Here is a 13,303-nt window from a genome sequence, read left to right as displayed (position 1 = left end):
TGGTCTCGAATTCCTGACCTCAGGTGATCTGCCCACCTTAGCCTCCCAAAGTGCTGGGATTACAGGTGTGAGCCACCGCACCCGGCCTCAGAGAGATATTCTTTGACTGGTGCTGTATCTGTTGGGAGTGTCATCACCTGGGGAGTGGTATGGCCCATGACTCAATTGCCCTCTTGCAGCCTTGGTACCCAGAGGTAAGGACTGAATTGCCCTCTTGCAGCCTTGGTACCCAGAGGTGAGACCTTGAGGCTGTTCTGCAGGTAAGGGAGGTAACAGTTCCAAGGTCCCAGTTCTGTGCATGGCTGGAAGCAGCTGCCTGGCCGGCTGCCTTGCTGGGCTGCTCTGCATACTCAACACCAGCAGTCTCTTGTCCTGGAAGATGGGTTCGTGATGGAAGATGATTAATAGCAGCTTGACTTTGTTAAACAGTTACATGTGCTGGGCACCCTAGGACAAGAAAAATGTTGTTATCCCCATTTTAGAGATGGTGCAACTGAGGCTTTGGGAAGGCAAGTAACTGATTCCAGGTCACAGCAAGTAAGTGAAAGAGCAAGGACTCCAGTCTAGGACTGCCTGTGTCCAGGGGACATAGTCTTCCCATAGCTCAATAGTTTTCAACCCCGGATGCCCTTGGCAATGACTTGGGAGATTTTAGAAATATATGCCCCACTCTCAGGTATTCTGACCATGCTGGAGTGGGGCTGGGCATTGATATTTTTTGAAGCTCCCCAGTGGTTGCTGATGGGCAGCCCAGGCAAGATCAAGGGCACAAAGCCATGATGCCTTTGGACCCAAGATCTCCTGGAAAGTGTTTGATTTTCACCAGAATTCATCTTTGGCAGATACAGCCTGGCTCAGACTCTGGTAACTATCAAGGAATGTGGGGCTGGGGGTTCCTGGATCCATTTGGCTGGCTCTGCCACAGTGAGTACAGAAGACAGCAGTTAAGCTGGTGTGACCTGGGAGATTCCATAAGGTTCTTATTGCTACCTCTAGCCCTGCTGCCCAGCCAACTCTCTCTGTCCCCGGTGTGGGTCACACTGTCCCCAAAGGTGGGAAATGCCCATCAGGGAGAATGAGGGAGGCCTCTGGCTCTGCCTTTAGAAGGCTTCCTGGGAGGGGAGAGCTTGAGATGCAGGGGCCAAGCCAGCACCCTCTCCTTTACCAACTTGTCCCACTGGGAATTGTCGCTGAAGAAGACTCTTAGAGGCTGCCGTGGAGAACTGGTCACCACCCAGGTGGTTTACCTGGGGAGCTGGGGAGCTTTGGCATCAGACCAGAAGACTTGAAGGGTGAGAGTGAGAGAGAGGCTGGTGGGGGTGCCTGTGAGGTCCTGTATCCTGGCTGCTCTCTTGGGATGCTCCAGCCCCATCCCTGGGAGCATCACAGAGCCAGGACCGGAGGCTGCCAGCCTGTGGCTCCTCCTCCCTCTTCCTCGGCCAATTCCCAGCAAACCACCCGCTGTACTTGCCAACGGAGCCAGATGCTGCTTTGGGGAAAATACCTTCTGGAGTTTGTTGTCTGAGCCCTCCTAGCTGACACCCACGGTGGAGAAGACGTGTCAGGATAAATGGAAAATCTCTTCATAAATATTTGAAAAAAAGGCAAAAAGGAAAAGAAAAAAAGAATACCCCCCAACTCCCAGCGTTTGGGAGCATCTTCATGATTGTGGTACCAGATGGAGGAAGCAGGTCATTAGCGTTCATCAATTTGTAGTGGGATCCCAGCAAGAGGGCCTTTCTGCGGCTGCAGCCAGGAGCCCCGTGCTCGGCTCCTGGGACTGCGGGCACCAAGGGGCGCCTTGGCTTGCTCTGTGTGCCCAGGGGAGGGACAGGCCTGCTGGAGCCTCTGATGGGAGCCGTGGGGCAAGCACAGATGCCCAGCTGGCTGGCGGGGGAGGGTGACCTGCCCTTTATCCATAATGCATAATTGTGTCTTTAAACCCAGCTGCTTTGGGACTTGATTACAATTGGAGCTCAGGAGCAAGTAGCTTTTAGGGGAGCCCCTGGGAGACGAGTGAAGAGGCCCCGGGGGGTTGAGGTGCTAAGTGGATAGTGCTGGTGCCCACACAATGTGGGGAGAGCAGCACACCCCAGCAGGAAGGCCCAGGGGATGGGGACCTGCCTCCCAGAGAGGGGCTCAGCTGGGGAGACAGGACACTTTCATGCTGAGGCAGCAGTCAGGAGTCCCAAGGCCCCTGTGGAAAAGGGCCCTTCTCAGGTCTGGTGATCAAAGAAACTCAGCACCCAGGGAGAGCACTTGGCCTTGCTCGTGACAGCCCCAGTTCCTGCCATGTGCATCCCTGTGTGTTCCTGGAGCCGGAGCTGCTGCTCTCAGTCCCAGGAGAGCCTGGCCTTTGGGCTCCTCAGACACTTTTCTGCTTGTCCCCCTGCAATGTCACTTGCCTTCCTCCAGGGTCTGGTCCTTGCCTGTCTTGGATCAGGACAGGCAGACTCTTCATACTGGAGGGGGGGATGGTCAGCCGGGCAGGGCCTGGGATGGGGCAGGGTCTCTAGGAGACAAAACCTTGCAGAAAACCTTCATAGGTAGAGAGAAGTCGGGTTCCTAAGACTAAGTGTTGGTGGCTGTGGTCAGCTTGTAAAGGCAGACGTGTTCTGAGGCCTTCGAAGGGTGCCATGTACCCCTCAAAGGTCCCCTCTGCCCTGGACCTCTCTGCCTGGATTGTGGGGCACACAGACAAACCTCCCACTTTTTGACCCCCTGTAGTTTCCAGAGGGGGTGGCCCTCATTGCAGGGTGGCAGTGTGGAGAGGAGGCTGCCTGTGACCTAAGGTGTGTATGGCAGGATGGGAGGTCATAGCAAGCTTGACCAAGATGTTTAGAGCAGCATTTGTTGACCTGCCTCCTGCTCCATGCTGGAAATATTCATTGCTTCTGGAAGGAGGTAGACCGGCCAGGCAGGATGCCTGAGAGGGGTGCGGGCCTGGAGGTCGCGCTGTGCCGCCTGGCTCAGTGATGGTATTTATTTATCTGTCTCTGCCTTGGCTGGCAGAGGCATAAGAATGGCTTCAGCCTCGAGGCTGGATTGCTGTTCACCTTTGGAATGTTAAGTCCGCTTTTAACTATGACTCAGCTTCTCTTCAGTTTATTCACTGTGAGTCACCTACCTGACATGCTGTGTTATGGACGCATCCCTAAATGACCAACTTAGAGAAACTGGCGGTGAATACAAACAGCTACCACAGAAGGCTGGTTGAAAAGCCAGGGCTTTGTTCTCTGACCCAGCGTTTGAGTTACACTTGGTTCTCCAATCAACCAGAAATCGCCGGGTACTCACTCATTCATTTTCTCAGTTGGTGGATGAAGTGGGTTGAATTGTGACCACCCAAAAAGTATGCCTGAGTCCTAATGCCCAGAGCCTGCAAATGTGGCCTTATTTGGAAAAAGCGTTTTTGCAGCTGTAACCAAGTTAAAGATCTTGAGATGAGATCATCCTCAATTAGGGTAGGCCCTAGGTCCAATGACAAGTGTCCTTAGGAGAGAAGGGGAAAAGACACACAGAGGAGAAAGCAGAGATTGGAGCAAGGTGCCAGCAAGCCCAGGAGCACCGCAGACTACCAACAGCCCCCAAACTGAGGGAGAGTCGCGGAACAGGTTTTTCCTAGAGCTTCCTCAAGGAACCAACCCTATCTGCACCTGGATTTCAGCCTTCTGACTTCCAGAACTGTGAGAAAATATGTTTCTTTTTTTTTTTTTAAGCCATCCGGTAATTAGTTACTGCAACCCTAGGAAATGAATACAGTGGCTATCCGAGGGCCTTCCGGTGCCAGGCACTGTGAGCACTACTCAGAATGGAGCTGTGGGCTGGGCACTGTGGCTCATGCCTGTAGTCCCAGCACTTTGGGTGGCCGAGGTGAAAGGATGGCTTGAGCCCAGGAGTTCCAGGCTGCAGTAAGCTGAGATTGCACCACTGCACTCCAGCCTGGGTGATGGAGCAAGGCCCTGTTTCAAAAAAAAAAAAAAAAAAAATACAGCAGTGAACTGTGTAGGTGTGACCCCAGCCTTCATGGAACCTCCCATTCAGAGAGGGAGACAGACTCAAAAGGGGAATTGCATAAAGAGGAATTGCATGACAAGGCTTCTGAGCAGGAGGCAGGTGCCATGGAGTCTATTTCCTCCTTCCAAACCTACTCCTTCTCCAGCTTCTCCATCTCAGTACAGCACCACCATTGGCCTGTGGCTCAGGCCACAGACCACAGGCAACTCATCACCAGATCCTGCCAGTGTTATGTCCAAGATGCATTTCTACCCTGTCCACTGTTCCCTGTCTTGCTGCCGCCTCCTGGCCAGGCCACCTGCTTCTCTCCTCTGGATGCCTGGAAAACCCTCCTCCAGCGACACTGTCCTTCTCCTTCACAATTGCCACCTACATTCCCTCAATGCGTTCTCTCCTTGGCAGCCAGAGGATCTGTGCAAATGTCAATTACTTCACTTGTCTGCTGAAAACCATGTCAGAGAGTCTTCCCGTGCACTGAGGGTCAATATGAATGCCCACACCTGGCCTGTCCTATGTGATCTGGTCCTTACCTGCAACTGCACCTTGAGCTCAGGTTCCCTTTTCCCTGAGAGGCTGCCACACTGGCCACTGTCCCTCCCTCCAATCTACCAAGCTCCTTTCCAGCTCAGAGAGAGTTCTTCTTTCTCTCAGGTCTCAATTCTTGGTTTCAAGTTCAAGTTCAGTCTCAAGTTCAATCTCAGCTGAAACATCACCTTCTCAGAGAGGCTGTTCCAGACCAGTAGTCTGGATGGCGTGCTCCTCTCTTCATAGCTCTCACCCCCATAATCAACATCAGGATTTGCATGTCAGTGTGTCTTTGCATGTCAGCCTGTCTTTCTCATACCTGGCAAACTCCAGGAGGGACCCAGGTCTGTTTTGTTCAATTCTGAAACTCCACCACCTAACGCATAGGGCCTGGCATACAGAAATGCTCAATAAATTATTCGTTGAGTGAAAAAGTAAATGAATATATTTTCTGAGCTATATGGTGAGGAGAGGAGTAAAGAAGAACCAACACTTGTATGGTAAACGCCGCAGCTCCCGAGATCCTACAAGTTTGATATGACAGCAGAGTTGGAAATGTAATTACTTTGTTTTTCTCTCTCTTCCAAATGCCTTGTTTTTAAAGTTGGGTGTTTTGTGTTTTTTTTTCCCCCCTGTGTTAAGTAAATGTGTGTATTAACCCTAAGGCAGCAGAAAAGGAAGGGTTTGCAGGCTTAGTGAAAGCATGCTGCAAAAGTCAGACCCCAAGAAGGGAAAAGTTCCCATCAAATAGAACATCTGAGGGAAGTTAAAATGCACTTGCAGAAATAAATTGGTTGCTGTAGCAACCAGCTCTAGTTCTCCCCCAGAATAAAAACACAGAAAGAGGAGGGGAGGAGGGGGATGCTAGCTAACTCTGATCTAGGCTTAAGAGAAGGAGCTGTCCAAATAGAATTATGGGACAATATTGTGAACCGTGTCACGTTACCAGCATAAAATGACGTTGTGCATGCTTGCCTCGATCTGGCAATGGACTCTCTTACTGGGCTTGATTCATCATTTCCGTTGTCTTCCTGGCTGGCTCCTGTGGGTGGTGGAGTATGTGACGCCTGCCAGACAATGCCTCTTGTCACTCTCAAAGTCGTACACCAGCTCCTGTGTTGAAGTGCTCCTGGAAGCCTGCACTTTAGAGAGACCGCGTGGTGTATCCTTCTGTAATGAGTAATCGACTTCTAACAGACCCTCCTTGCAAATTCAGATTTTTACCTATATATGGTTTTCTAGAGTGGCATCCACCCACTTGTGCCAGGAGAGTTCACTGAAGGTACCAGAGTGGGGAGTGAACTCGCAGGGGTGATTCTCCATTGCATGTTTGGGGTTCGTGAAGAAAGGCAACCCACTTATGGGGGAGAAGGGCAGACACAGGACCCTGGGTCTGGGCCAGGGTGGGTCGTGTGCAGACACCACGGCCTGGATAGATTTTTCGTGAAGTGCGGTGGTCACGGTGAGGAGGCAGCCCAGCCTCGGCGGGTTTTCTCTGAACAGATGATTTCCAGTGTGTGATTCCAAAGAAGCACTTTTAGGCAGTTCAGTAACCACTTACGATAGAGGCAAAAAGGTGCAAAGAATTGGTGGTCCATGAAGTTTGTAGGTTCATCTCATTCATTCATCTTTGCTCAACATGAAGGATTGAATTCTTACTGTGGTGGACAGAATAATGGCCCCCCAAGGCTTCCCCCTTCCTTATCCCTGGAACCTGTGGATATGTTATGTTGAGTGATAAAGGGGAATTGAGGTTGCAGGGGGAATGAAGGTAGCAAATCAGCTGACTTTGGAATAAGATTATCCTGGTTTGGCCTAAATGGAATCGGAAGGGGCCTTTAAAAGTGGAAGGAAGAGGCAGAAGAGGAGGTCAGAGTGATACCATGTGGGAAGCACGCACCCCACCGTGGCTGGCTCTGAAGATGGAAGATGCCATGAACTGTGGCATGCAGGCAGCCTCTAAAAGCTGGAAAGAGCAAGGAAACAGAGTTTCCTGAGAGCCCCCAGGAAGGAACACATCCCTGCCAGGCTGGATTTTAGCCCAGCCAGACTTGCACTCCTGATTCTACCCCTGTTAGATGTGTGTTGTAAGCCACAACGTTTGTGGTCATTTGTGGTGGCCCCGGGGCACTGATTTATCCTCTAAGTGCCAGGTCCTGCACCAGGTTATGGGAGGTCAAAGTCAAATGAGACGTGGTTCCCACCCTCACCAGGCCCTCAGTGCCGAGAGAGGGCAGTTGGCAAATCAGCAGCTGAGGTGTGGAAAGCAGGTGTGGGGTGATCTGGGCGGCTGTGGTGGGGGCAGAGGGCTGTGCTTGGGGAAGGCTTCCCAGAGCCGACTTTTGAAGAATGGACTTGAAGGGTTGTCCCGTGAAAGAGGGCCTGGGGAAAGCCATCCCAGACAGTAGGGCCACTGGTAGGGTCAGAGGGGCTGGAAATGCAGCGGCTGCAACAAGAGCCGGCCGGCCCAACAGCTGAACTGGGCAGCTGGAATCTCACCCTGAGAGCTACAGGGGATCATCTGGAGGGTTTTGAGTGCAGAACTGACAGGTTTTGATCAGCCTGACCACAGAAGTCAGCCAGAAGCAGAGCGTGTCAAAAATAGAGCCATGTGGATCAAAATAAAGGCTTGTGGGGCCCTGGGCTGAGAGGGAGCAACCTGCCCAGGGGACAGCATGGTGAGCAGCACCCCCAGACCTTCCCCTCCACTCTTCCTCATCCAAGTCTGGATTGCTTAGGTATTGCTGGACCTGCTGCAGAGAAATCGGTAGGACCCACGGACTGGCCCTCTTCCCCTCGCCTCCCTTGTGCTTTTCTCTTGCTCCTGGGCAAGGACACCCAGGGAAAGAGGCAGATGGAGGACGAAGTTGTGGTCACAGGCAGGGCGCTAGGCCTGTCATTCTTTCATAAATTAAATGTAAGCTGTAAAAATTGATTATTTAAGGAATAATTTCCATTATTTTCTAATATAAAAAAGCAGGGACATATGCTGTGATAAATTACAGAGTCAGAATGAAGAGAAGAATTTAATTAATTTCACGAGCTTGCTGAAAACGCCATCCCTGTGGAATCAGGGGCTGCATTGGGCCCTGCCAGGCTGCAGCTGGCTTTGCATGGCACTTGACCCCCCCACCACAAGCTGGGGGCCACCCTGGGCAGAGAGCCCTTCCCTGGTGGGCTGAGGCCTGGGCTGCCGCATGGTGTGGTGGAGGGCAGCAGGAACAACAAGTCAGGTCTCTTGGTGCTGCCTGGGGGCTCGGCTGAGCCCTCGGGATGGCTGTGGCTTCATGTCTGGACCTGCATGACAGCTGGTTGGGCAAGTTGGGCTGACTGAGCAGGTGGGAGATCAGTAGAGGACCAGAATCTGGGCTTTGGAAGGTCGAAGTCAAGTCCAGACACTCAGCTAAACCTCCTGTCCTCAGCCCAAGCCAAGGGACCCTCCCCTTCAAACACACACATTCTTGGCTTTGTAGCCAAGCAAGGCAGGTGGTCTTCAAGTAGGAGCCCAAGTTCATTCCTCCTGTGACTGAGCTCAAGGACCCCCCTACTTCTGTCCTAGTCCTCATGAGCAAGCCTCCACCATCCTTTCTAGCTCTGCTAACTAGGTCCTGCCTTGCCACTTCTTTTCCAGTTCTGGGGGGTTCCTGGGTGATCATGATGGCACTAACATTTTATTTCATGCCCCCAGATACTATATTACATGCTCTGTAAACATTGTCTCATTTAATCCCCTTGACAACCTCACTTTGTTCCCATTTTACAGATGTGAAGCCTGAGGCACAAGGGCTTAAGCCATTTCCCCCACTAACTTGTAGTGCATGGCAGAGTCAGGATTCAAACCCAGGTCTCAGGCCAGTTGAGCCAGTCTCTTCCCTCTGTGGCCATGGCCTGTCCCAACCTCTTCTCCATGGTCCTCAAGAGTCCTCATTAAACAAGTCCTGGGGTGGGATTGCTTGAGCCAAGAGGAGAGACTTCTGGTTTGGCGTGGCCACTTTCAGAAGCAGCGTTTCCTAGCTTCCTTCAGAGCTGGATCATCACCCCACCAGAGCTTCCTCACATGCCACTGCGTGGTTCCCAAATTGAACAGCAAAATGAGGATGAAAGGACTGGCATTTCTCCTGGTTCCCAGAGCTCTTCCTTTCCCCGATCTTTCTCTCCTGTCTCATCTGGCACACACCTCTCTCACCTGCACCCTCTACTACCAGGCCCAGAAAATACAAATTTTCCTTCTCCAGAAGCCCGTTCCTTCATTCAGCCCTGCCACAAACGCTGATCAAGCATTTGCCATTTGCTGGGTGCTGAGCTATAGATAGAGTCAAAGGCCTAAATCTGCCTCCCGGAAGTTCCAAGCAAACAGGTGACAATTCTGCATGGCGAGTGTGCAGGGGCTGAAGGATTCCAGAGAATCAGGGTTCTTTCCCTGGTCTGGGGAGGCAGGGGACACTTCTTGGAGAAGGGGATATTTACAGAAGCTCCCAAAACGATGAGAAAAGCATAGAAGAGCTCTTGGGCCAGGGGCAAGGCATGTGCAGCTGCCCGCTGGAGGGAGGCTGGAAGGAGCAATGGCGTGGCATCTTTTCTTGAAAGCCAGGGCAGGCCGTTGAAGGACTTTCAAAGCAACGAGAGCGAACCTCCTTTCAGAAAGATGAATCCAGTGCCAGCATGGAGCACAGATCAGAGGGCTGTAGAGAGGAGGCTTCGGGCAAGAGAAGGTGCTGGCTTGGGCAAAGGCAGAGGCGGTGGGCAGGGAGAGTTAGGGAGAGATTTGCACTTATTCGAAGATGGCTTTGGGCATTTTTATCAGGCAGAAATTTCCAGGAAAACTAAACTAAAAAAGGAAGCAGAAGACAGAAAGCAGCCATTTGCCTCCTAGACCCCTTCCCAATCCCCGTGGTTCTCAAAACTGGCCGGCCATGTGTATTTCCATGGCCAATCTTGAGCTTTCACGGATGCATCCCTCAGAATAGAGTGAGCAGCACCTTACCGACACTTGTGTGATTCATGATCCTGGTAACGGGCGCTCGCCCAGGAAGCTGTCTTGGCCTCTGCAGCCGTTGGCGTCTAATTGATTTAATACATCAGCTAAGGAACTGCTGTTTCCTGAATGAAACCTAAAATTGCATTGACTCTACAGCTGCAGCTGAGAAGGACTTCACTCCAACAGTGCAATAGCCCTATCAGCCCGATCCCAGGTGGCGCTGAGATCGCAGGGACTGGCGTGGAGTTAATAACTGCCCCTTTGATCTGGCATCTTCTGCTTCTCCCCGTGGGGACGCATGAACACAGGAGAAATCAGGGAGCAGTGTTGGAGGCTCTTTAATGGGTGACAATGGCCACTTGTAGGAAAACAGGTTTCCCCTCCACCCCCATCCCACCCCCCACACAGCAGGGTGAGGATAATGAATGTTCTATGAGCAGCTCTCGTCTGAAGGGAACTAATTGATTCCAATTTTCATTTTACCGGATCTCATAATTCTTTATCATGACTTCCTTTACGACTTAGAGGGCTTTGGCGCTGAACTGCTGTGTAACAGGAGGGCTGTGTGATCCACACGATAATCATTTATTCACCAGCAGGACAAATGTGCCTTGTTGTCATTAAGAGGATGCACGATTCTTACCCCTGTAGCCCTTCTTTTCCCATCTGAGACAGGTGTGTCAATCTCCGAGCTGCGGGAAAAGTCATCTTCCCCTCTGACAAGGAAGGGAACGGGAGGCCTCCAAGGAATTTCAGAGACGAATCTGGAATCTCAGCCTCCTCTCCTCAGACATTCCAAGACAAATGGAAGGTTTCTGGGAAAATCGTGCTTTGAGGTGGATCCCTGGTGGCAGGTGGCTTGAGACAAAATTCATTTAAGGAGAAGGGACATAGCTACATCTCTACACGGGCAGGAGTTCACCTCCCTAAAGCTGGCTGGGCAAAGTTCCAGAAAGCCAGGTTATTCGGCAGGTTTTGAAAGACAGGTCATTGCTGTTCTGTCCTCTCTGCAAAATCCACAAAAAGTCAGCTCCTCCCTGCAGCTGACTTCACAGCTTCCCGAAGGCACAGCCTCATTCACTCACTCACTCATTCACCCTCTTACTCCACACACATTTATCAAGTCCCTGCAGCGTGTCCGGCACTGGGAATATACAGATGAATAACACTCATGGCCCTGTTGTCAAGGAACCGACTTTCTGATAAGGGAGGAAGGAAAAAGCAAGCAAATGAAAGAGCTACAGAGCTGGGTGCAAGCAGGGAAAGAAGCAGTTACAGGGGAGGGCGGGGTGAGCTGGGGTCTGGGAAGGCCTCCCAGAGCTGGGGAGCCGTTAGATCATTCAGGCAGTGTGGGGTGGAGAATACAAAGGCTTGTAACCAGAAAACGACTTTAGGGAATGGTTAGCAGCTTACATGGCTGGAGTGGGAAGTTCAAGAGGAGGAATGGCTGAGGTTTGGTGAGCTAAGTCACAAGGGCTGTGTCTGCCAAGCTAAGCAGTTTAGGTTTTGTTCTGAAGGCAGCGGGGAGCTGGGACCAGGACAAGTTCTGTTTTATTCTATTTTGTTTTGTTTTGTTTTTGTTTTGTTTGTTTGTTTTTGTGAGACAGAGTCTCCCTCTGTTGCGCAGGCTGGAGTGCAATGGTGCGATCTCGGCTCACTGCATCCTCCGCCTCCGGGCTCAAGCAATTCTTGTGCCTCTGCCTCTCAAGTAGCTGGGATTACAGAAATCCGCCACCACATCTGGCTAATTTTTGTATTTTTAGTAGAGACGGGGTTTCGGCATGTTGGCCATGGCTGGTCTCGAACGCCTGGCCTCAAGTGATCCCCCCGCCTCAGCCTCCCAAAGTGTTGGAATTATAGGTGTAAGCCCATGCGCCCGGCCCAAGTTTTTAAGCCAAAAAGAAACATTATCCAACATGCAATGTACGCATCTTAGAAAGATCCCTCTGGCTGCATGGGGAGAAGCTTCGGAAGGGAAGATTGGATAGGGGTGCATGAGAATCCGACCTATGATGTAGTCAGTCATGGTGGCAAGGAGGGGAGGAGGGGAGACACCAAGGAGATAAAAATCTCCAGGGCTCCATGAGTCATGGGACGTGAAGGGTGAGAGCAAACAGGGGGCTGAATTTTACCCCTGAAATCCCGGCTTGGGAAGCTGCATAGATGATGTTGTTTTAGGAACGCTTGCAGCTGTAAGAGAAACTTAACAGATATCTAAGCAATAAAGGCATTTAATTATTTTCACATATTGAGAAGTCTGGAGGTGAACCTTTTAGGGCTAGCTTAACATTTCAGTAGTGTCATTAAAGACCCAGGATTTTTATTTTTTCTGCTCTTCTACTCTTTTTTTTTTTTTTTTTTTTTTTGAGGCAGAGTTTTGCTCTCGTCGCCCAGGCTGGAGTGCAGTGGTGTGATCTCAGCTCACTGCAACCTCTGCCTCCTGGGTTCAAGGGATTCTCCTGCCTCAGCTTCCCCAGTAGCTGGGATTACAGATGCCCACCACTATGCACCATGCCTGTCTAATTATTTTGTATTTTTAGTAGAGATGGGGTTTCACCATGTTGGCCAGGCTGGTCTTGAACTTCTGACCTCAGGTGATCTGCCTGCCTCAGCCTCCCAAAGTGCTGGGATTACAGGCACTGGCCTCTCCTACCATCCTTAATGTACTGGCTTTTTACCTCATGGTTGCAAGATGGCTGCTGCTGCGCCGGATATTTTCATAGCATTCAAGACAAGAAGAAGGGGAGAGAGGTGGTCACAGCCACATGTCTGTTACCTTTTATCAAGAAAACAAAAACTTTGGCCAACCTTAGTTACAGGGAGACTTGGAAAATTAGTTTTTAAATTTTTAACTTTTCCAGCACCTAGAGTGGAGGCAAGTAAGGAAGAAAGGGATTGGGCATGGGTTATTGAGTTGGCAGTGTCACCAACCAAGATGGAAAAACTCAGAGGAAAAGCCAGCATAGCCCTGTGCCCTGGGCTAAGTGGGATGTGGGAGAAAGAGCAGCCTCTACCGGCGAGGGTTATGGGGCAGCAGGTGATATATGGGGAAAGCTTGGGCACTGCGTCCTTCGCTCCCAGATCATTCAGCTGGTGGGAGGAGGTGGAGGGCAGCAGGAAGAGAGAAGTTCAAGCATTCCCCTCCTCCCCTGTCTTCAGTGGCTGCGTCTCTTTGCAGGCTGTGGCTCCAGCCTGCTCCGGTTCCACCTTCCCCTGGTTAACCCCAGGCCCTCCTCCCTCTGTCCCTCCAGACAAGAGCTGATGGCTCCTTCCTGCTGTTGCTCATGTCTGGGCTGCCTTACCATGGCAGTTTGGCTTCTCAGCTCTCCACCCCACCCCACTGCCTGTGTAATCAATTCCCTAGGTTAGATTCTGTCTGTTTCAAATACTCAGAAGGGCTTCTGTTTTCCTGGTTGGACTCTAACTGCTTCACCTGTCTTTGAAGAGGCTGGGGGTGGGGGGAGGTTTAAAGGAGTTTGTTTCCTGAAATAATGGTCACAGGAGGTCCCAATAAACAGAGACAGAAAGAGAGGGCAGCAGGCCTGTGCTGGATCAGAGAAGCCGAACCGAAAGCAGGAGAGGGAAGAGGGAAGACTGCTTCTTGGCTTCCTGAGGTTGACAGGGACGGGAGGCCTGGTCGGAAGGGATCCACAGTTGGAAACTTCAGTAGATGGGAGGACAGGGGGATCCTGGATGCGGGCCGGCTGCTTCCAGCCTGGGCTGGAACCTGTAGTCGTCTGATATCCTGGAGCAGGCGGGGATGGGGTGATGGCCACTGTTTAC

The sequence above is a fragment of the Homo sapiens genome, chromosome 17 (genome assembly GCF_000001405.40).
Source record: "Homo sapiens chromosome 17, GRCh38.p14 Primary Assembly".
Classification (NCBI taxonomy): domain Eukaryota; kingdom Metazoa; phylum Chordata; class Mammalia; order Primates; family Hominidae; genus Homo; species Homo sapiens.
The sequence above is the reverse complement of the archived record's forward strand: the minus strand, read 5'-3'. Positions refer to the sequence as shown.